At 42.2% G+C, this 23,507-nt stretch overlaps 1 protein-coding gene across 10 annotated transcripts in view; it reads left to right on the forward strand.

Moving 5' to 3' along the window:
• POLR1B (RNA polymerase I subunit B) overlaps nucleotides 1-21,531 on the forward strand; it is a 37,783-nt gene extending 16,252 nt beyond the window's left edge. For 8 of the 10 annotated variants that reach the window (NM_001282772.2, NM_001371970.1, NM_001282777.2 and 5 more), the window contains 7 exons: nucleotides 1,006-1,287; nucleotides 6,079-6,212; nucleotides 9,680-9,850; nucleotides 10,459-10,615; nucleotides 14,275-14,471; nucleotides 15,275-15,528; nucleotides 16,560-21,531. In NM_001282772.2, the coding sequence (NP_001269701.1) occupies nucleotides 1,006-1,287; nucleotides 6,079-6,212; nucleotides 9,680-9,850; nucleotides 10,459-10,615; nucleotides 14,275-14,471; nucleotides 15,275-15,528; nucleotides 16,560-17,442 (2,078 nt within the window). In that variant the 3' untranslated portion in view covers nucleotides 17,443-21,531. Of the gene's footprint in view, nucleotides 1-1,005; nucleotides 1,288-6,078; nucleotides 6,213-8,470; nucleotides 8,609-9,679; nucleotides 9,851-10,458; nucleotides 10,616-14,274; nucleotides 14,472-15,274; nucleotides 15,529-16,559 lie in introns of all 10 variants that reach the window. The other 2 variants (NM_001371969.1, NM_001282774.2) reach the window with 2 other exon arrangements.
• The last annotated feature ends 1,976 nt before the right edge of the window (nucleotides 21,532-23,507 follow it).

The following is a 23,507-nucleotide window of genomic DNA, read 5'->3' on the forward strand; positions in this document are numbered from 1 at the left end:
CTCTGCTTCCTTCTAGAAAATGAAAGGCCACTTAGACCTCTGAGGAAGGCTTACCTAACAGGAACTCTAGATGGGTTGCTGTACATGCCCATCTCTAAACCATTTGCCTTGCCTCAGAGTGACCTGAGAGGCCAGGTGTGGTGGCTCATGCCTGTAATCCCAACACTTTGGGAGACCAAGGTAGGAGGGTCACTTGATCCTAGGAGGTCAAGGCTGCAGTGAGCTGTGATTGCACCACTGTACTCCAGCCTGGTGACAGAGTGAGACCCTGTCTCAACAAAAAAGAGAATGACCCTAGAAACTTAAAAAGTGGTAATTGGGAATTCAGAATTTTTTTTTTTTCTTTTTTGAGTCAGGGTCTCACTCTGTCACCCAGTCTAAAGTGCAGTGGCAGGATCATGGCTCACTGCAGCCTTGACTTCCCAGGCTCAGGTGATCCTCCGACGTCAGCCCCACGAGTAGCTGTGACTACAGGCATAAGCCACAACACCTGGCTAATTTTTGTATTTTTTGTAGAGATGGGGTTTCGCTATGCTGCTGAGGCTGGTCTGGAACTCTTGAGCTCTGGTGAACCACCCACCTTGGCCTCCCAAAGTGCTGGGATTATAGCATGAACCACTGTGCCCCGCCTTTTTTTTTTTTTTTTAAACCCATGTTACTGTTGCCGATTCTTTCATTAGCCTGCTTTCTTGCTTGTCTATTATCTGACTCTCTCAGATGAATTTAACTACTTGCTATTTTATTAACTCATTTAATGTTCACCCACAAAGGAGGTCATAGAGGAGACAGGGAACTAGTTGGGGCTAATACAGTTTGTGAAATCTGGGGATTATTTTACATATTTTTTTGTGAACTCTTTACACTCATCAGAGCTAGGAGAATAAATGTTGTAATAATTCATTCTATGATCTGTAGAGTGCTCTGAGGTTTTGTCGTCATAAAGCCTCAACAATTTCCATTTTTCAAAAGATTGGCCCATTTTTGAATGACTTTTGTTTTATTAAGGTCTTGGCCTCCTACAAGATTCTGGACTTTGTGTTGTGGCTGACAAGCTGAACTTCATACGCTACCTCTCCCATTTCCGCTGCGTGCACAGAGGGGCTGATTTTGCCAAGATGAGGACCACCACAGTACGCAGGCTGCTGCCAGAGTCCTGGGGCTTCCTTTGTCCCGTGCATACCCCAGACGGGGAGCCCTGTGGCCTGATGAACCACCTAACTGCCGTATGTGAGGTTGTCACACAGTTTGTGTATACGGCATCTATTCCAGCTTTACTGTGCAACTTGGGTATGTAGTGTACAGTGATAAACATCTTGTTTGGTTATGTGGGTTTTTTTGTGTTCTTTTTGTTTGTTTGTTTTGAGATGGAGTGTTGCTATGTCGCCCAGGCTGGAGTGCAGTGGCGCGATCTTGGCTCACTGCAAGCTCTGCCTCCTAGGTTCACGCCATTCTCCTGCCTCAGCCTCCCGAGTAGCTGGAACTACAGGCGCCCGCCACCACACCCGGCTAATTTTTTGTATTTTTAGTAGAGACAGGGTTTCACCGTGTTAGCCAGGATGGTCTCGATCTCCTGACCTCGTGATGTGCCTGCCTCGGCCTCCCAAAGTGCTGGGATTACAGTTGTGAGCCACCGCGCCCGGCCAAGGTTACGTGGTTTTTAACCTGTTAAGTTGTGCTGCTTTTGGAGATTCAGCAGAGATTTTCTGTAAGAATTCTTTTTTACTCTTCTGTGCAGGAGTTGGGCTGCTTTCTTGGCTCCTCTGTAGAAGGCCGAATGCATTCTTTGAAAGTGAAAACAGGAGAAACTAAGTGTTATAGGTACTTTGTTTTCTTTGGGAAAAAAAAAAAGATAATGGAAGTGAGGATCGCTTGAGCCCAGGGATTTGAGGCTGCAGTGAGCTGTGATTGTGCCGCTGCTGCACTTTAGACTGGGTGAGAAAGTGAGATCCTATCTCCAAAATGAAAAATAAATGAATAAGAATGATGCCAAAGCATTCGAAATAGACTAGTCATTAATATTGGAAGTATAGAAGCTATTGAGTAGTTTTTTGGGTCATTTCTTTTTGCATCTCTTGGCGGATCTTTGCATTTCTAAATAGAAAACAGTGTTGGTTTGCAGGAGGACAGTTTAAAAGGAGGTTTCCCAGTCTACCCTGATATCATCAGATATATAACCTTTTTTCCTGATAACCTTAAAGCTGCTGTCTCTGTCTCTGCTTGGCTTGATACTTGGTTTGAATTTACTTTCATACCTAAAGATGTCAGCCTTCTCTGCAGTCTTCTAGTCCCAGGGTTCTCCATTTATGATTTGGAGACAGAAATGTTCTGTCTTTGGTGGTCTGTGGACAGGGTCCTCAGTGGGATTAATATGTGTGCAGTAAAACTTCCAGTTCATGGGGATCAGATGATAAGTGTTCTCAGGCAACTAGAAGGGCATTGACTCAAGAAAGTTCTGCTTAAAAGTACTTCTCCCAATTAGAGTGGCCTGGCCGGGCGTGGTGGCCCATGCCTGTAATCCCAGCACTTTGGGAAGCCGAGGTGTGCAGATGACTTGCGGTCAGGAGTTTAAGACCAACCTGGCCAACATGGTGAAACCCCATCTCTACTAAATATACACACACAAAAAAATTAGCTGGGTGTGGTGGCATGTGCCTGTGGTCCCAGCTACTCAGGAAGCTGAGGCAGTAGAATCACTTGAATCCAGGAGGTGGAGGTTGCAGGGAACCAAGATTGCACCACTGCACTCCAGCCTGGGTGACAGAGTGAGACTCCATCTAAAAAAAAAAAAGAGAGAGAGAGTGGCCTGTAAGAAGAGGGCCCTACAGAAAGTAATCAAGAAATACTCAAGATTCAGAAGATGTAATCAGCGTAATTTGAAGGTTTATCCTCTACGAGGAAAAGAATTTTGTTACTCGTGATTCAAAATGTCAAAGTCCAGGAGAGGGTAGAAAGGAGAAAAGAGAAAGTGGAGAGGTAGAAAGTATATCCAACTGCAGAAAAAGAGATGGGGAAGGGTTTTTTGCTCTAGCACTGGAGAAGAAGACGGAATCGCTACCTAACTTTCGATAGAGATGTTCATATTGTGGTGACAGATGAAACACGAGGCAGGTAACTTCTGACACTCTAACAAACACTTGATGTCTTCAGAATGTATTTATGGTTCATGGAAGAGTGTTCTTTTTTTTTTTTACTTAATTTCAGTTGATTCTCATTATTTGTAGTACTCATCTTTAAAGTTACCAGTGAATATTGAACCATTGTGCCTAGGGGAAATACAGGGTAAGGTTCCTTCAAGCCTCGGGTTACAACATTTTTGTTAGCCGATCAATATGTAGCCTTGTTTTTTGTGTGTTTCTGTTGAAAGACACCCTTTAAAAATATATATTGTTCACGTGGTAACATTGAATTCTCAGCCAACAGCAGTGTAATTATAGGCTTATCTAACACACATGTTTTTCTGTTAGGCACATCACACCTTTTTGCATTTATGAACACTAGGCAGCACTTCAGTGCTGCACTCGGAGGCAATTTGTTTTTTCTGTTTGTTTGTTTGTTTGTTTGTTTTGTAGAGATGGGGTCTTGCTATGTTATCCAGGCTGGTCTCGAACTCCTGGCCTCAAGCATTCCTTCTGCCTTGGCCTCCCAAAGTGCTGGGATTGCAGGTGTGAGCCACCATGCGAAGCCTGGAAGCTGTTATTTAAACAGCTTCCAACAAAAAATCACACCAACAAAAAGCACAAAAATGCTGAAAACGTGCCAGTGAACAGACTGGGCAAGGGGCACTTGTTTATAGTATGAGCTGACAAGAAGGCATGGCATCGTCTTGTTTGACTTCAGCTGCGGGGAGCATCTGCATCGGGGGACTCAAAGTTTTTTGCTGCATGTTCTGAAATGACTTTGAAAGCATCCCCAGTATTAATTTTGTGGTTACAGAGATAATGTAGCAAGTAGGCAAATGTGCACATAATGAGGATTAACTGTAATTACATTTTGGGGGTTAATGCATTTAATGCATTTAGGTGGCTTAGAAATAAAAATATTAAGACATACAGTGAAATGCTCCCTCCCATAGGCCCCTGTCCCCTTGCTACTTCTTTCCTGTGTGTCCTTGCTGAAGCAATTTAAACTTCCACAAGCAATACAAAAGCCTTCAGGCTTACCCCGGAGATATTGCAGGTTTGGTTCCAGAGCGCTGCAATAAAGTGAGCCACATGAATTTCTCGGTTTCCCACAGTGCATATGAAAGTTATGTTTACACTATGCTGTAAATATTTCAATTTTAAGAATACTTTATTGCTAAAAAATATTAAATCATCTGACCCTTCAGTAAGTTGTAATCTTTTTGCTGGTGGAAGGTCTTGCCTCAGTGTTGCTGGCTGCTGACTGATCTGGGCGGTGGTTGCTGAAGGTTAGGATGGCTTGTGACAATTTCTTTTTTTTCTTTTTTTTTTTTTTTTTGCGACGGAGTTTCGCTCTTGCCCAGGCTGGAGTGCAGTGGCGCGATCTCGGCTCACCGCAACCTCCACCTCCCAGGTTCAAGTGATTCTCCTGCCTCAGCCTTGCGAGTAGCCGGGACCACAGGCATGCACCATCATGCCCGGATAATTTTTTTTGTATTTTTAGTAGCGACGGGGTTTTTCCATGTTGGTCAGGTTGGTGTCGAACTCTCGACCTCAGGTGATCTGCCTGCCTCGGCCTCCCAAAGTGCTGGGATTACAGGTGTGAGTGACTGCACCCGGCCAGCTTGTGACAATTTCTTTCTTTTTTTTTTTTCTTTTTTTTTTTGAAATGGAGTCTTGCTCTGTCACCCAGGCTGGAGTGCAGTGGCGTGATCTCGGCTCACTGTAAGCTCTGCCTCCCGGGTTCACGCCATTCTCCTGCCTCAGCCTCCCGAGTAGCTGGGACTACAGGCGCCCGCCACCACGCCCGGCTAATTTTTTTGTATTTTTTATAGAGACGGGGTTTCACCGTGTTAGCCAGGATGGTCTCGATCTCCTGACCTCGTGATCTGCCCGCCTCTGCCTCCCAAAGTGCTGGGATTACAGGCGTGAGCCACCACGCCTGGCCTGTGACAATTTCTTAAAATAAAACAAGTTTGCGACACCAATTGCATCTTCCTTTCACAAAAGATTTCTCTGTAGCATGTGATGCTGTTTGATAGCATTTTACCCACAGAGGAGATTATTTCCAAGTTGCAGTCAGTCCCCTCAAACCCTGCCGCTGTTTTATCAACTAAGTTTATGAAATAATCTAAATCCTTTATTGTCATTTCAACAATGTTTACAGCATCTTCTCATTTCTTGAGATCCCATCTCAAGAAACCATTTCTGCTGGGCACAGTGGCTTAGGCCTGTAATTCCAGCACTTTGGGAGGCCAAGGCGAGAGGATTGCTTGAGCCCAGGAGTTCGAGACCAGCCTAGGCAACACAGGGAGACCCTGTCTCTACAAAAAAAAAATTTAAAAATTAGCCAAGCATGATGGCACGCACCTGTCAGCTACTCGGGAGGCTGAGGTGGGAGGACTGCTTGAATCTGGGAGGTTGAGGTTGCAGTGAGCCATGATCATGCCACTGCACTGCAGCCTGAGCGACAGAGCAAGACCCTGTCTCAAAAATAAAACAAACCCATTTTTTTTGCTCATCCTCTAAGAAGCAATTCCTCATCCATTCAGTCTGATTATGGGATTGCAGCAATTCACTCATAGCTTCAGGCTCTACTTCTAATTCTAGTGGTCTTGCTATTTCTACCACATCTACAAGTCCAGTAGTAACATCAGAGATCACTAATCACAGATCACCATAACAGATATAATAATAATAATATTTGAAATATTGCAAGAATTACCAAAATGCCAGCACAGAGACACAAAGGGAACACTTGTCGTTGGAAAAATGGCATTGATAAGCCTGCTTGAAATATCTGAAGTGCAGTTAAAAGAAATAATGCCTGTACCTGTTTTAGAGACAAGGATAATTTGATATCTGAACTGATACAGCAGCTGTTGACCCCATCTGGAGGGAATCTGGAATGTTGGATGAAGCATTCTGATGTGATTGTGCTGTTTGTTTCCTTTACCAGGGGTCACTCCCATTGATGGAGCTCCCCACCGATCATACAGTGAGTGCTACCCTGTCCTGCTGGACGGTGTCATGGTTGGCTGGGTGGATAAGGATCTTGCTCCAGGCATCGCAGATTCTCTTCGTCATTTTAAGGTGGGCTTGAGGCTTTGTGAATTGTCCTATCCCTTGACCTTAGGTTTTTCAGTTCCTTTCTAGTTTTGGGGTTAACCCCTGGGCGGTCTAGAGTGATCAAGTGGTCAGGGGGTCACAATGTCCAGAATGCCTGTGCATTCCCTCTGGTGACAGAGGCTTGCCTTATACTGGCCTCATTGGTTGGGGTCAGTGACAGATATTTGACCCATATACATTCTTTGGCAGTTTCATTGAGGCACCTCAGTCTGCTTATCTAACTAATTTTAACTTTTTTCCCCCTTCTTAATACTAGTGGCATAGAAGGGATCTCAAAATACAGATATTTCAGTAATATTCAAAATATGCAAGGTAGAAGTTATACCCCATTGCCTCCTAGGTTTTGAAAATATATTTTTAAAAAGTAGAATGACATTCTTTGAATAACTTACCTTTGGGATTTCCTCCTAGTGAAGAGTATTTGTTGCTTTGATAATGGCCATTGAAAGAATTATCCTTTGGCAACAGGCTGTTTGTGGTTTATATTCTGTTCTGTGTTTTTATTTTTAAAAAATGTTTAAACTAAATTTTAGTTTTCGTTTAAGTGCTGTTTCGGACACTTGGGTTGTTTCTACCTTTTGGTCATTGCAAATAATGCTGCTATGAACATGAGTGTACAAATATCTATTTAAGTCCTTGTGCTTTTAATTCTTTAATTCTTATATTCCTATAAGTGGAATTGTGGCTCATTTGATATAATTTTACACTTAGAGCAAAGATGTTTAATCAGTACATGGGACCCCCCTGTATACACATTACCCAAATCCACCAGTTGCTATGCTTTGCCCTACATCCTTTATCTTCTGTATACTCAATTTTTTTCTTTTGAACCATTTGAGAGCAGTATTGAGACATTGTCTCATTTTCCATAAAGATTTTAGTGTACTTTTTCTAAGAACAAGGACTTTCTCTTCAATAACCACAGTACATTTATGAAAATCAGAGAAGGTCATGTGGGTGGGATCCATAGTTGATACTCAGATTCCACCAGCTGTCTCAGTAATGCTCTCTTTTTTTTCTTTTCTTTTCTTTTTTTTTTTAGAGAGACGGGTCTCACTCTGTTGCCCAGGCTGGGGTGCAGTGGCACAATCACAGCTCACTGCAGCCTTAGTGTCCCAGGCTTAAGTGATCCTCCCACCTCAGCTTGCCAAGCAGCCTGACCACAGGACTGTACCACTGTGCCCGGCTACCCTGACCCAGTCCTTTGGGTTGTTATGGAGGCTTTATTACATAGGATGACTGATGGAATCATTGGCCACTGGGGATTAGCTTAACCTCCAGCCCCTATCCCCTTCCTGGAGGTTGAGGGTGGGGGTGAAAGTCCCAATCCTCTAATCCTGGCTTGGTCTTTCTGGTGACCAGCCCCATCCTGAAGCCACCTAGATGCTGCCAACCACCAGTCTTTTATTTTTATTTTTTTGAGTCAGAGTCTTGTGCCTCAGCCTCCTGAGTAGCTGAGACTACAGGTGTGTACCACCACGCCCGGCTAATTTTTTTTATTTTTAGTAGAGGTGGGGTTTCACCATTTGGGTCAGTCTGGTCTCCTGACCTTAACTGATCCACCCGCCTTGGCCTCCCGAAGTGCTGGGAATCACAGCTCTCCTGTAATTTAGGTTTATGTTTTGCTTCCTCATGATGAGATTCAAGATATTTCAGGAAGCACATGACGTTGGTTTGTCCTGTTACGACTCATGTTAACTGATCCCTTCAAAGTTGTGTTCTTTAGGTTAATTCACTGTACAGTTTCTGTTTTTCTCTGTAATAAGTAACTTGTGGAGAGATAGTTGAAAGCTATGTGGAGCCCTCTTTCTTCATATTTTCACCCACTAGTTGATGGATTATTAGCTGAATTACTATTCCATTGGTGGTTCTTTGCTGAGTTAATATTACTGTGATGGTTACCACATGGTGTTTTCCCCCACCAGCATTTTTTCTATGTTTATTAGTTGCTATTCTGTAAGGGAGGGCTTTCTTTTCTATTAGTTGTTCATTTATTTATGTTAGCGTAGATTTATAGATGCTTGTTTAATTTTGTGAATATTCTGTTACTACTTATTTTGATGCTCAGAAAGTGTATGAGATTTGATCTAGTGTACAGTTGAGGGTTTTAAGTACATTCATGTTGTGGAGTCATCACCATCTTCAGAACTTTCTCATCATCACAAATTGAAACTCTGTAACCATTAAACAATCATTCCTCTTTTTTTTTTTTTTTGAGGCAGAGTCTCGCTCTGTCGCCCAGGCTGCAGTGCAGTGGTGTGATCTTGGCTCACTGCAGCCTCCGCCTCCCATGTTCAAGCAATTCTCCTGCCTCGGTCTCCCAAGTAGCTGGGATTACAGGTGCACACCACCATGCCTGGGTAATTTTTATATTTTTAGTAGAGATGGGGTTTCTCCATGTTGCCCCGGCTGGTCTCGAACTCCTGACCTCAAATGAGCTACCTGCCTCATTAGTCTCAGATTTTATCTTTTTTATAGAGAATTTATTTTCATTCTCTTTTTTTTGGTTAGCATTGTGGAGCATCGGAGGATGAGGACACTTAAGATCTGCTCTCTTAGTAAATTTCAAGCATGCAATATAGTATTCTTAACTATAGTCACATGCTGTACATGAGATCTCCAGAAACTTAATTTTGTTGCATAACTGAAGCTTTATACTCTTTGACCAACATCTCCCCGTGTCCCCCTCCACCAAACATTCTCTCATTTTTAATGATAATGCATCTAGCTGTGAATCCCCATGAGTTCTGACACATGGGTTTGTTGTTGTTGTTGTTGTTGTTGTTGTTTTCAGGTTTCTGTAATTTAGGTTTTTATTTCTCCTTTCACCCAGGAGTTTGTTGGAGTTTTTTTGTTTTGTTTTTGAGACAGGGTCACTCTGTCACCCAGGCTGGAGTGCAGTGGCATGATCATGGCTCACTGCAGCCTCAACCTCCTGGGCTCAAGTGATCCTCCCACCTCAGCCTCCCGATTAGCTGGGACTACAGGCACGTACCACCACACTCAGGTAATTTTTTAATTTTTGTAGAGACGGGGTTTCATCATGTTGCCCAGGCTGGTCTTGAACCTCTGGGCTCAAGTGATCCACCCACTTTGGCCTCCTAAAGTGCTGGGATTACAGGTATAAGCCACCCCCGGCCCACCCATGAGTTTTTGGTTTATTAAATTTACAAATAAAACCAGTAATCTACTGTATTTTAGATCACAGAGGACAGAATTTCCTTTAGTGTATCGACACGTGCATTCATGGTGTGCTTTATCCTTAGCCTCAGTAGTTAGTGATTTGCCTACTAGCTGGGGTGAGCACCCAAGGAAGTAGGGCTTTTACCATGGCTGAGTGTGGATGAGTGGTATTCCATGGGGCATAAGACTGGCAGCGACAGCCATGGCCTTGGGACAGGTTTGTTAAACTCTGTTTTTGTTAAAAACAGGTGTTGAGAGAGAAAAGAATTCCTCCCTGGATGGAAGTGGTCCTTATACCCATGACAGGAAAACCAAGTCTGTACCCAGGATTGTTCCTTTTTACCACTCCTTGTAGACTGGTACGGCCTGTGCAGAACTTAGCATTGGGCAAAGAAGAGCTAATTGGAACTATGGAACAGGTAAATACATATGTGTGATGGATGAGTGTATGTGCTTGTTTGTATAGTATACAACTTTCAGAGACTTAACTCTTCCTTTTTTAAAAGGGTTGTTAATGTTACAACAACAGTTGGACATTTGAAAGAAAGTCAGACTTTCCACCTCCTCTATGATCAGCACAGAGCAATTTCCATGTCTGATCTCACTCCACAGAACCTGAGAGAGGGCTGGTGGTCACATTACCTGCCTCCCATCTTATCTAGCTCCCAGAACTCCTTTGTACCTGGCTCTGCCTCAGCCGTGAAGTGAAAACATTCCATTAGATTCACACTCAGTCTTTGCCTACATATTTACAGTTGCAAAATTATAGGCTTTGTGCTACTTAAAAATTTTTCTTCCTATTCCCCTTCACAATTGGTCTGGGGTAGTTTTAGAGTGAGATACGTAAAGCAAGTGGTATTTCTAACTGGTCGCTTCCCTGTGCTTCCCAGTTGATCCCTTCAGCACTCATGATGCTGGGTGGGGATGGTTTTCTCTTGAGTCTTTGAGTACTGAACTCTGAGAAATGGTAAGAGTAAATGTGTAACCAGTTGCAGTTATTTTGTGCCTTGGACATCTGCTCTTCCAGATCTTCATGAATGTCGCTATCTTTGAGGATGAAGTTTTTGCTGGAGTTACCACACACCAGGAACTCTTTCCACACAGCCTGCTGAGTGTGATTGCCAACTTCATCCCTTTCTCTGATCACAACCAGAGTCCACGGAACATGTACCAATGCCAGATGGGTAAGGAAGAGGGATGATGTTACAGTCACAATCAGGAAAGTAAACTTGATACTAGCACACTCTTTTATTGTCCTTATTTACATATGCTGACCATTTGTTCCAAAAATACAGTTTATGGCAAGTTTTTCTTTTTTCTGTGCCACAAGCAACCAGCCCAGGATCACTCATTGTATTTAGTTGGCATGTCTATTTAGTTTCCTGTAATTTATGACAGATCTTTAAACATTCTTTGTCTTTGACATTGACATTTTTGAAGAAAAAGGTATAGAATGTCCATAGATTTGGGTGTGCCTGAGGTCTTATTATTTGATTTTTTGAAGAATACAAGCAATTATAGTCACCCGCATATTTATCACTTCCAGTCCTCTTCATTCCTGCTGCAAGATTCAAGTTTTCATTGTATACAATTTTCCTTCAGCCTGATAATCTTCCTTTAGCATTTTTTTATAGTGCAGGTTGCTGGCCACAAATTCTCTTTGTTTTCATTTATCTGAAAATGTCTTTATTTTGCTTCACTTGAAGGAATCTTTCACTGGATATACAATTCTGAGTTGACAGTTATTTTTCTTCCAACACTTAAAAGTTGTTGTTACACTGTCTCTTCTTAGTCTCTGTCATTTCTAGTTAGAAGGCAGCAGTCTTCTGAATATAGTGTGTTTCTTTTTTTTTTTTTTTGAGACAGAGTCTCGCTCTGTCGCCTAGGCTGGAGTGCAGTGGTGTGATCTCGGCTTACTGCAACCTCTGTCTCCTGGGTTCAAGTGATTCTCCTGCTTCAGCCTTCCAAGTAGCTGGGTCTACAGGGACTCACCACCACACCCAGCTAATTTTTGTATTTTTAGTAGAGACGGGGTTTCACCATGTTGGCAAGGCTGGTCTCGAACTCCTGACCTCAGGTGACCTGCCCACTTTGGCCTCCCAAAGTGCTGTATTACAGGCGTGAGCCACTGCGCCCGGCCTCAAATTTTGTTTTTTTTCAGTTTAATTAAATTGCTAAACTCTTCTGTCATTATTTTTAAAAACATTGCTCCTATCCTTTTCTCTCTTTCCTCCTCTTCTATCAGTTATTCATATATTTAAACCTTTTGATATTGTTCCATAAGACATTGAGTTTCTGTTCTCTTTTTTCTTTATTTTCTTCAGATTGGATCTTTTTTTTTTTTTCCCGAGATGGAGTCTCACTTTGTTGCCCAGACTGGAGTGCAGTGGTACAATCTCGGCTCACTGCAACCTCTGCCTCCCATGTTCAATAAATTCTCCTGCCTCAGCCTCCTGAGGAGCTGGGATTACAGGCACACACCACCATGCCCAGCTAATTTTTGTGTTTTAGTAGAGATACGGTTTCACCATGTTGGCCTGGCTGGTCTCAAACTCCTGACCTGAAGTGATCTGCCTGCCTCAGCCTCCCAAAATGCTGGGGTTACAGGTGTGAGCCACTGCACCTGGCCCAGATTGGATTATTTTTATTGACCTATTATCACAGTCACTTTTTATTCTGTCTTCTACTGAATTTTTGCTTACAGTCATGTGCCCTTAACGACAGGGATACCTTCGAAGAAGTGAGTCATATGTGATTTTGTCGTAGTGTGAACATCATAGAGTGAACTTACACAAACCTAGATGGCAGAGACTACTACACACCTAGTATATGGTATAGCCTGTTGCTCCTAGGCTACAAACCTGGGTGGCATGTAACTGTACTGTGTACTGTCTACAGTTGTAAGACAATGGCAAGGATTTGTGTAGCTAAACATAGAAAAGGTACAGTAAAAATATGGGATCACCATAGTATATATGCCATCCTGCATTGACTAAAACATTGTTATGCAGTGCATGCCTGTATTTTTCAAGTCCAGCACTTCTACTTGTTTCTTTTTTTTTTCTTTTTTTTTTTTTTGAGACAGGGTATCGCTCTGTCACCCAGGCTGGAGTGCAGTGGCACGATCTTGGCTCACTGCAACCTCTGCCTCCCCAGTTCAAGCAATTTTCCTGCCTCTACCTCCTGAGTAGCTGAGATTACAGGCATGTGCCACCATGCCCAGCTAATTTTTTGTATTTTTAGTAGAGGCAGGGTTTTATCATGTTGGCCAGGCTGGTCTCAAACTCCTGACCTCAAATGATCTGCCTGCCTCAGCCTCCCAAAGTGCTGGGATTACAGGCATGAGCCATTGCGCCTGGCCTGACTTGTTTCTTTTTTTATAGTTTCTTTCTTCTCTAAGATTTCTTATCTTCATTCATTGTGGGCATGTTTTCCTTTATATTTTGAACATAGTTTTATATGATGGGTGTTGTAAAATCATTATCTGCAGATTCCAATGTCTGGGTCATCTTAGTATCAGTCTCTTTGAGTATAAGTCAAGTTTCACCATTTCTTTGTATGCCCAGTAATATCGGATTGTATTATGAACATTGCGAGGAGTATGTTTTAAACCCTGGATCCTGTTAGGGTCCTCTGAAGAGGATTGGTTTTGTTTGTTTTTAGTGTGGTGTTTGGCCTTCAATTACATTTTAATTTTTTTCATTTTATGTCTTTCCTTCTTAATACACAGTCCATCACCTGGTTCAGTGCATGTCACCAAAAATTCTCCAGGGGAAGAGGATTGGTTTTTAGTTTTCACTGGTACTTAACTTGGTGAACGTGGCAGTTGAAGTACATTCTTCAGCCTTAGGTGGGCTGCTGTGATCTGTCCCATGCATGCATAGTTCAGGAGTCCACCAAAGATTCGGACCCAATTTATATGCTGAATTTAAGGGTCTCCCTTTGTGGTTCTCTCATTTCTGAAATGTTCCCCCTTCCCAATTGTTGTCATGCTCAGAACTCTATTTCTTGGTTCTTCAAGCCAGTAAGATTGTGGGTTTCTATCTAAGTTGTAGCTGCCACACTGGGCCATAAGGCAAAAATAAATACATAAATACTTAAAAACCTGGAAATTCACCCAGTGTGTTCCTTTTGTCCAAGTAAAAATTCTTCTCAGCTTCTGACAGCTTTTGGTTACTCTCCAGTGCTGTATGTGTAGTTGGGGGTCTGCGTCTCATACTTATGTGTTGAGGGTGGTCTAGTAAGAGTAGCCCTTTATTACTGGAAGCTCTAAGTCTATAATTTTTTTAAAAATTTCACTTGTATGTATTTATATTTTAAAATCATTTTGTCGTGAAATGATTCTCTGTACTGTGAGGTAGTACACAGAGGAATCTCACCCCATGCTCCACTACTTAGAATTAAATACATATTCCGCTGTAAGAAAGTAATCTAATTACGTAATAATTCCTATCCCCTTTTCTTCCCCGAGTAGTGATAGCCTGTAATTTGCGTACTTCCTTTCTGTCCCCTTCTAAAGCTTTTATTACATCATACATGTATCCATAAACTAAGTATAGAATTGTTTGGGGTGTGTTGCAAATACACATAAATCGTATCATATTAAATGTCAGTCTGCACTTTCTCCCACTCAGCATGGTTTTCCTGGTCTGGTCACGTTGATACATTTAGGTTTACTTCATTTTCACAGCTTATGTATTAGTCTAAAGTAAGCATAACTACCATGACTATTTATTTGTTCATTTTCCTCTGATGGATATTTAGTTGTTTCCAGTGTTGCGTATCACACCTATAATCAAGATGAAAGCAGCAGAAAATGCTAAGATGTTTTTTCTCCATGTAGGTAAGCAAACTATGGGCTTTCCACTTCTCACTTATCAAGACCGATCGGATAACAAACTGTATCGTCTTCAGACTCCTCAGAGTCCCTTGGTGAGACCCTCCATGTATGATTATTATGACATGGATAACTATCCAATTGGGACCAATGCCATCGTTGCTGTGATTTCTTACACTGGCTATGATATGGAAGATGCCATGGTAAGTTTTACCAGGAAATGTTGTTCCAATCTTTTTATTTTTTAACTTGTTTGTTTACTGTGAAATCACTGAAGGAATATTTTTGTGTACCCAAGTACCTAGTATTTGGCACGTGATGTTCTATTAAATGATTAGTTCTTAGTCTAAGTTGAAAGTGGGCAAGCCTTGAGGAATATCCACTAAATATTCAGATACACGTATGTCTTGCATATTTGAGTGCATATTATGAGTAAATTTTGAAGTTTGGTTTTGGATCTATCTACCTTTTATATTTAAGTATGATTAGATTTTAAGCTATTTCTGTGTGCCTGGGTTTTTGTTTTTCTTGTTTTTTGTTTGTTTGTTTTTTGTTTTTTATTTTTGAGACGGAGTCTCGCTCTGTTGCCCAGGCTGGAGTGCAGTGGCACGATCTTGGCTCACTGCAACCTCCACCTTCTGGGTTCAAGCAGTTCTCCTGCCTCAGCCTCTCGAATAGCTGGGACTACAGGCACCCATCACCATGCCTGGCTAATTTTCGTGTTTTTAGTAGAGATGGGGTTTCACCATGTTGGCCAGGCTGGTCTCGAACTCCTGACCTCAAGTGATCCACCTGCCTTGGCCTCCCAAAGTGCTGGAATTACAGGCGTGAGCCACCGTGCCCAGCCATGTCTGGGTTTTTGTAGTTAGTATCAGTGATTTGGAAAATGTGAGGAAAGTTAAAATGTGATGCCAGTTATCCTAAACCAAGTATGATAGTCCCACCTAGTTTTATTTTGAAAATCCTCAATTGGCCTCAGTCTTTTAACGATTCTTTTACTTCACAGATTGTGAATAAGGCCTCTTGGGAACGAGGCTTTGCCCATGGAAGTGTCTACAAGTCTGAGTTCATAGACCTCTCTGAAAAAATTAAACAAGGAGATAGTAGCCTGGTGTTTGGCATCAAACCTGGTGACCCACGCGTTCTGCAGAAGTTAGATGACGATGGATTGCCGTTTATAGGAGCAAAACTGCAGTACGGAGATCCGTATTACAGCTACCTCAACCTCAACACCGGGGAAAGTTTTGTGATGTACTATAAGTAAGTTTGGGTATCCAAGCTGTTTTGTTTTTGTTTTTGTTTTTGTTTTGAGACAGGGTCTCAGTGTGTCAGCCGGGCTGGAGTGCAGTGGAGTGATCTCAGCTCACTACAACCACCACCTCCCGGGCTCAAGCAATCCTCTCGCCTCAGCCTTTGAGTAGCTGGGACTCCAGGCATGGACCACCATGCCCAGCTAATTTTTTGTATTTTTAGTATAGACGGTTTCACCATGTTGCCCAGGTAGGTCTCGAACTCCTGGGCTCAAGTGATCCACCTGCTTCAGCCTCCCAAAGTGCTAGGATTACAGGCCTGAGCCACCATCCCTGGCCTATTTGTGCTTTTTTTAAAAACTGTATTATCCAAACTTTGTCATCTTTCTCACATACAATGTTAGCAATGTTTCCTAGCCAAAATGTTGAGCTCATACCTCTTATTAGAAATGTCTTATTTTAGCTTATTTTACAATATAATTTATTTCAATAGGCTTTCATAATAATTTTTCAGTTGCTTTTGTTGCTAGTTTTCTTTCAGATGAACATAATTCTGTAGTGAATATCACCAATAGCTCTATTCATACCATCTCTGTTTGTATTGGAGAATAAAGGTAAGAATGAGTTTTGCAGGCCAGGCACAGTAGTTCACACCTGCAATCCCAACACTTTGGGAGACCAAAACAGGAGGATTCCTTAAGCACAGGAGTTCATGATCAGTCTGGGCAATGTAGTGGGGCCCTATCTCTACAAAAAAAATTTAAAGACTAGCCAGGCCTAGTGGCATATACCTGTAGTCCCAGCTACTCAGGAGGCTGAGGTGGGAGGATTGCTTGAACCCGGAAAGTCAAGGCTGCAGTGAGCTGTAATTGCACCACCGCACTCCAGCCTGGGCAACAGAGTGAGACCCTGTATCATAAAAAAAAAAAAAAAAAAAAAAGTTTTACAAATATCCTTTATGAAGCACTAATTATATCAATGAAACTTATCTCCATAAGTTAAAACAAATAGGTTGACCTTATATGGTTTACTTTTTCCTAGGAGTAAAGAAAATTGTGTTGTGGATAACATCAAAGTGTGCAGTAATGACACTGGGAGTGGAAAATTCAAGTGTGTTTGCATCACTATGAGAGTGCCTCGGAACCCAACTATCGGAGATAAATTTGCCAGTCGCCATGGGCAGAAGGGCATTTTAAGCAGATTGTGGCCGGCTGAGGACATGCCTTTTACTGAGAGTGGGATGGTCCCAGACATTCTGTTCAATCCCCATGGTTTTCCATCCCGCATGACCATTGGGATGTTAATTGAGAGTATGGCCGGGAAGTCTGCAGCTTTGCATGGTCTCTGCCATGATGCTACACCCTTCATCTTCTCAGAGGAGAACTCGGCCTTAGAATACTTTGGTGAGATGTTAAAGGCTGCTGGCTACAATTTCTATGGCACCGAGAGGTTATATAGTGGCATCAGTGGGCTAGAACTGGAAGCAGACATCTTCATAGGAGTGGTTTATTATCAGCGCTTACGCCATATGGTCTCAGACAAATTTCAAGTAAGGACAACTGGAGCCCGAGACAGAGTCACCAACCAGCCTATTGGGGGAAGAAATGTCCAGGGTGGAATCCGTTTTGGGGAGATGGAACGGGATGCGCTTTTAGCTCATGGTACATCTTTTCTCCTTCATGACCGCCTCTTCAACTGCTCAGATCGGTCGGTAGCCCATGTGTGTGTGAAGTGTGGCAGTTTACTCTCTCCACTGTTGGAGAAGCCACCCCCTTCTTGGTCTGCCATGCGCAACAGAAAATACAACTGTACTCTGTGTAGTCGCAGTGACACTATCGATACTGTTTCTGTGCCTTATGTTTTTCGGTATTTTGTAGCTGAACTGGCAGCTATGAACATCAAAGTGAAACTGGATGTTGTTTAACTTGATGTTGACCTTTTGGATTAAGAGGACTATCAGATTAAAGCAAAATGTAATTTTAATTCAATGAAGATATCATTACCAGGTTACTCTTGAGATTTTTCAACGGTGTTAGAACTCTCAACCAAGACCTGAAAACCAAGTATGCAAGGTTTCTGAATCTCTCTGGTAGATTAACTATTGACAATGATTTTCTGTTATCTTTGTTCAAAAAGTTCATGTCTTCTCAAAATATGAAATATTGATAAATGGAAGAGCATACGGTGACAAGTCTCCTTTCCAACCCCAGGTTCCCTACACCCTGCTCTCAGCAGGCAGTGAGTGTCACACACCTGTTAATCCATCTTGAGCAGGACAGTACTATACAAATAGAATGCAAGCTGTAATGTAATTTTATATTTTCTTATAGCCACGTTGAAGTAAAAACAAACAGGTACAGTGTTTTTTACCAGCTTTATAGAAGTACAGTTGTTACATATTTAATGAATACAATTTGATGGGTCTGACTATATGCACACACCTTTGATACCATCACCACAATCAGGGTAATAAACATACCTGTCATCTCCACAAGTTTCCTCCTGCCCCTTTGTTTTTTGCTTTTTGGTTGCTGTTGAGTTTTTGTTTTGTCTTCTGTGGTAAGAACACTTAACTCAAGACCTACCCTCTTAACAAATCTTTAAGTGCACGATATAGTATTGTTAATTCCAGGCACCATGTTGTACAACAGATCTTTAGACCTTACTTGTCTTGCATAACTGAAGCTTTATACCTGTTGAACAACTCTCCATTTCCCTGGCCCCTAGCAACCACCCTTCTACCCTGTTTCTATGAGTTTGACTATTACAGATATCTCATATAGTGGGATCATGCAATATTTGTCCTGTGACTGGCTTATTTCACTTAGCATAGTGAAATAAGATTCATCCATTTTGGAAGCCAGGCATGGTGCTGTGCATCTATAGTCCCTGCTATTTGAGAGGCTGAGGTGGGAGGATCATTTGAGTGCAGGAGTTCAAGGACAGCCTGGGTAATATAGGAAGACCCTGTCTTGAAGACCCTGACCTCAAGTGATCCACCCACCTCGGCCTCCGAAAGTGCTAGGATTACAGGTGTGAGCCACTGTGCCTGGCCTCCGGTGAGTATTTTATATTTAGTCTACACTTCCATACTTGGCTTTTTTCTGCTTTTATATTGATCTGCTTTCATAGCAGTGTGTAGAGTGCCACTTATGTTTTCTTTCTTGTGTACAGTATTTTATTGTATGGATTTACCATCCCCTGTGTATTTAAGTTGTTCCATTCTTTGGCCATTATAACTTTTTTCTGCAAATATTCTGGTGACTTATCTTTGGCCATTATAAACTGTTGATAATAGATCATCTTGTATATACTTCTGCAATTATAAGATGTTTTTTGATGATGAAAGCTTTCCTAAGGTAATTCTTTCCTGAGTTTGGTTCAGATGGTCTGTCACTAATTATAAGGCAGATAGGAACAGACAGAAAAATCTATCATTTCAAGATAGGCTTAGCAGGATGGGCGCAGTGGCTCACGCCACTAATCCCAACATTTTAGGAGGCCTAGGCAGGAGCAATCACTTGTGCCTGGGAGTTCTAGACTAGCCTGGGCGAGACTTCATCTCTACAAAAAAAGCAACAACGACAAAAAAAATTAGCCAAGCATAGTGGCACACCCCTGTAGTCCCAGCTACTTGGGAGGCTGAGGTGGGAGGATTGCTTGAACCCAAGAGGTCGAGGCTGCAGTGAGCCAAGATTGTGCCACTGCACTCCAGCCTGGGTGACAGAGCAGGACCCTGTCTCTATTTTATAAATTAAAAAAGGCTGGGTGTGGTGGCTCACACCCATAATCCCAACACTTTGGCTCAGCAGATTGCTTGAACCCAGGAATTCAAGTCCAATCTGGGCAACATGGGGAAACCCCAGCTCTACAAAAAAAATTAGCCTGGTGTGGTGGCACATGCCTGTAGTTCCAGCTACTCAGGAGGCTGAGGTGGGAGAATCTCCTGAGCCTGGAAGGTCCAGGCAGTGAGCCAAGATTGTGCCACCACACTCCAGCCTGGGCGACAGAATGAGACCCTGTCTCAAAAAAAAAAAAAAAAAAAAAGCGGGGAGGCATAAGAAAAAACCAATTTAATAGAAAAGATAGGCTTTGCTTCAGGAAGCTGGTTGAGAAGAAGAAGGAAAAAGTCGATTCTACTGACTGACGTTTCCCCCTGCTGTTAAGAATCCCAACCACACACTTTCACACACTATTCCAGGTTCTGGCTACTGAATGATCCCACAGCTGAGGTCTATTGTCATCGCTCCACTTCTATTTTTAGCAGCACTAAAAACATTCCCAAAAAAAATGTTTTTTAGCTTTTTAACTGTAGATTCACCACTAAGAAATTGGCATTGGAACAGTCCACAGAGCTTATTCAAATTTCACCCATTTTACATGCACTCATTTGTGTTGCATGTGATATATAGTTCTATTTCATTTTATCACCTGTGTAGATGGATGAAAACAGCAACATAAGCAAGATACAGAGCTGTTCCGTCATCACAGAGCTCTGCCATACTATCCTTTTATAGCCATCTCTACCTCTGTCCCCCATTTCTAACCCCTGGAAACCACTAATCTGTTCTTCATAATTTTCTTATTTCAAGAATCTTACGTAAATAGGATCACGAAGTATAACCTTTGAGAATGGCCTTTTCACTCCATTCCCTTGAGATACATCCAGGTAGTTGCATGTATCAATAGTTAATTCCTTTTTATTGCTACACAGTACTCCATAGTATGAATATACTATGTACATAGCATATATATTTATAGTTTAACCATTCACCTTGAACATTTTGGTTGTTTCCAGTTTGGGGGCATTAACAATAAAGCTGATCTGAACAATCAGGTATAATAGTCCCCCTTTATCTTTGAAGATTATATCCCAAGACTCCCAGTGAGTGTCTGAAACCATGGATAGTATATACACTATCCATATGTGCTATATGTACTATATGTCCTCTATATATTTTTTCTATACATACATACCTTTGATGTTTAATTAAGCACTGCAAGAAACTGACAGCAATAAATAGAACAATTATACTGTAATTAAATGAATGTGGCCTCAAAATGTACTGTTCTCACATATTTTCAGACTGTGGGTAACTGAAACTGCATAAAGCAAAACTGGCTGGGTGCGGTGGTGCACACCTGTAATCCCAGGACTTTGGCAGGCTGAGGTGTGCAGATCACTTGAGGTCAGGAGTTTGAGACCAGCCTGGCCATCATGGGGAAACCCCGTCTCTATTAAAAATACAAAAATTAGCTGGGTGTGATGGCACACGCCTGTAATCCCAGCTACTCAGGAGGCTGAGACAGGAGAATCACTTGAACCCAGGAGGCAGAGGTTGCAGTGAGCCAAGATCACGCCACTGCACAGCAACCTGGGCAACAGAGCAAGACTAGAGTCTCAAAAAAAAAAAAAAAAAAAAAAAAAAAAAAAAGGAAAGCAAAATTGTAGATAAGGAGGACTACTATACAGGTTATTGTGTAAACATAAGTTTCATTTCCCTGGGACAAGTGTTCAAGACTGGGATTGCTGGGTCATATGGTAGTTGCATATTTCATTTAATAAACTGCCAAACTTTTCAGAGTGGCTGTGCCATTTTACATTCCTACCAGCAATGTATAAGTGATTCATTTCTTGGCATTCTGACCAACCAGCATTTGGTGATGTCACTTTTTTTTTAAGGCTAGTCAAGTGAAGCAGTGGGAGTGGAAAAAGAACAAATAAATCTGTAAGTGGTTGTGATCAATTTGTTGCAACACCATTGCACTTGGACCAGCCCACTATTTCTTATTTTAGCCATTCTGATAGATGTGTAGTGATATCTCATTGTGGCTTTAATTTGCATTTCTCTAATGGCTGAAAATGTTGAACATCTCTTCATGTGTTTATTTGCCATCTGTGTATCTTCAGTGAAATGTCTGCTGTTCATTTTTTAATTGGATTGTTTGTCTTCTTACTGTTGAATTTCAAGACTTCATTATATATTCCAGATATAAAGCCTTTGTCATACAAGTGCTTTGCAAATATTTTCTCCCAGTTCATAGTTTGTCTTTTCATCCTCTTCACAGGTATTTTGCAGAGAAACAAATTTAAATTTTGATGAAGCCCAATTGACAGGTTTTTGGTGTTGTGTCTAAGAACTCTTCACCTAGCCCAAAGATTTTCTCATATGTTATTTTCTAAAGGTTTTATAGTTTTATGCTTTATATTTAAATCTATGATCCATTTTCCACTTAAGAGTTCATTTTTGTACAAAGTGTAAGGTTTAGATCAAGATTTTTTTTTTTTTTTTTTTTTTTTTTTTTGCCAATAGATATCCAATTGCTCCAGGACTGTTACTTGAAAACGATCCTTTCTCTATTGAATTACTTCTGCACTTCTGTCAAAAATCAGATGGCCATAGGCCGGGTGCACTGGCTCACGCCTGTAATCCCTGCACTTTGAGAAGCTGAAGTGGGATGATTGCTTGAGCCCAGGAGTTTGAGACCAGCCTGGGCAACACAGCCAGACCCCATCTCTACTAAAAAAATTAGCCAGGCATGGTGGTGTGCACCTGTAGTCCCAGCTCCCCAGGAGGCTGAGGTGGGAGTATCGTCTAAGCCTGGGAGTCGAGGCTGCAGTGAGCCGTGATCACGCCACTGCACTCCAGCTGGAGTGACAGGGTTTAAATCAGATGGCCATACTTGTGCGGGGCTAATTTATTTTGTATTATTTCATTTTTATCTCCTTTGTTGGCTTATTAACCCTACCTCCATTTTCATTTTTTGTTGTTTCTCTTAAAATTTCTAGTGTACATCTTTAGACTTGTCACACTTTTATGTAATATTCTACCACTTCACAGGTAGTAGAACAACTTAGCAACAGCACACACTTTCCTGTCTCTTGGCCTTTGTGCTATTTTGTCATAAGAGTTATATTTACTGTATCTGGAGATCTTGATTTCATATGCCAGATTTCCATTTTCCTTCGAACTGAGAGCTTGCTTCAGTGTTTCTGAGCTTACTTAGGTGAGACCAGAGCGGCCATTAGGGCTAATTTTGCCTCACTAGACAGGCAGTATCTTTGAGTAGTTTAGCCAGTGCACAGTGATGGTCTCCACTATGGCTCCGGGGATTGCTCTGCCTGCACCTTCCTGGTAGTTCCCTTGGTTTCCAGGAGTGTGTTCACAGGCATGCTGTGCGCTACACGTGCAGGAAACCCTTTGCAGGTCTGTGCTGCGCTACTCTCTGGTACCCTGCCTTACAAACTAGCTGCCTTGGCCTCTCCAAATTCTCAACTTTGTCCCAACTCAGGGACACCCCTGGGCTATGTAGCCTAGAAACTAACTCTCCAGACATAAGCCGGGCCACTAAGGTCACTTCATTTGTCTCCTTTCTCTTGGGGACCACTGTGCTACAATGCTTGTTTCCAATGTCTGAACTCTGTTGTCTCCTATTTTGTCCAGATTTTTTAGTTGTTGATGTTTGAAGGATAAATCTACTACCTATGACATCACCACACCCGGGTAACTTTTGTACTTTTTGTAGAGACAGAATTTCGCCATGTTGCCCAGGCTGATCTCAAACTCCTGGGCTCAAGCAGTCTGGCCACCTCAGTTTCCCAAAGTGCTGAGATTTATAGGCATGAGCCACTGTACTTGGCCTATGTTTCTAACGCAGAAGCCACCACCGTATGCCACACCTGTGACTCTTTCCCATATTTGTTGTAGTAAAAGGGACTGCAGGCCAGGCGCTGTGGCTCATACCTGTAATCTCAGCACTTTGGGAGGCCGACATGGGCGGATCACGAGGTCAGGACTTTGAGACCAGCCTGGCCAATATGATGGAACCCCGTCTCTACTAAAAATACAAAAATTAGCCTGGCGTGGTGGTGCGCACCTGTAGTCCCAGCTATTTGGGAGGCTGAGGCAGAAGAATCGCTTGAACCCGGGAGGTGGAGGTTGCAGTAAGCCGAGATTGTGCCACTGCATTCCAGCCTGGGTGACAAAG

This window comes from Homo sapiens, chromosome 2, assembly GCF_000001405.40.
Source record: "Homo sapiens chromosome 2, GRCh38.p14 Primary Assembly".
NCBI lineage: Eukaryota > Metazoa > Chordata > Mammalia > Primates > Hominidae > Homo > Homo sapiens.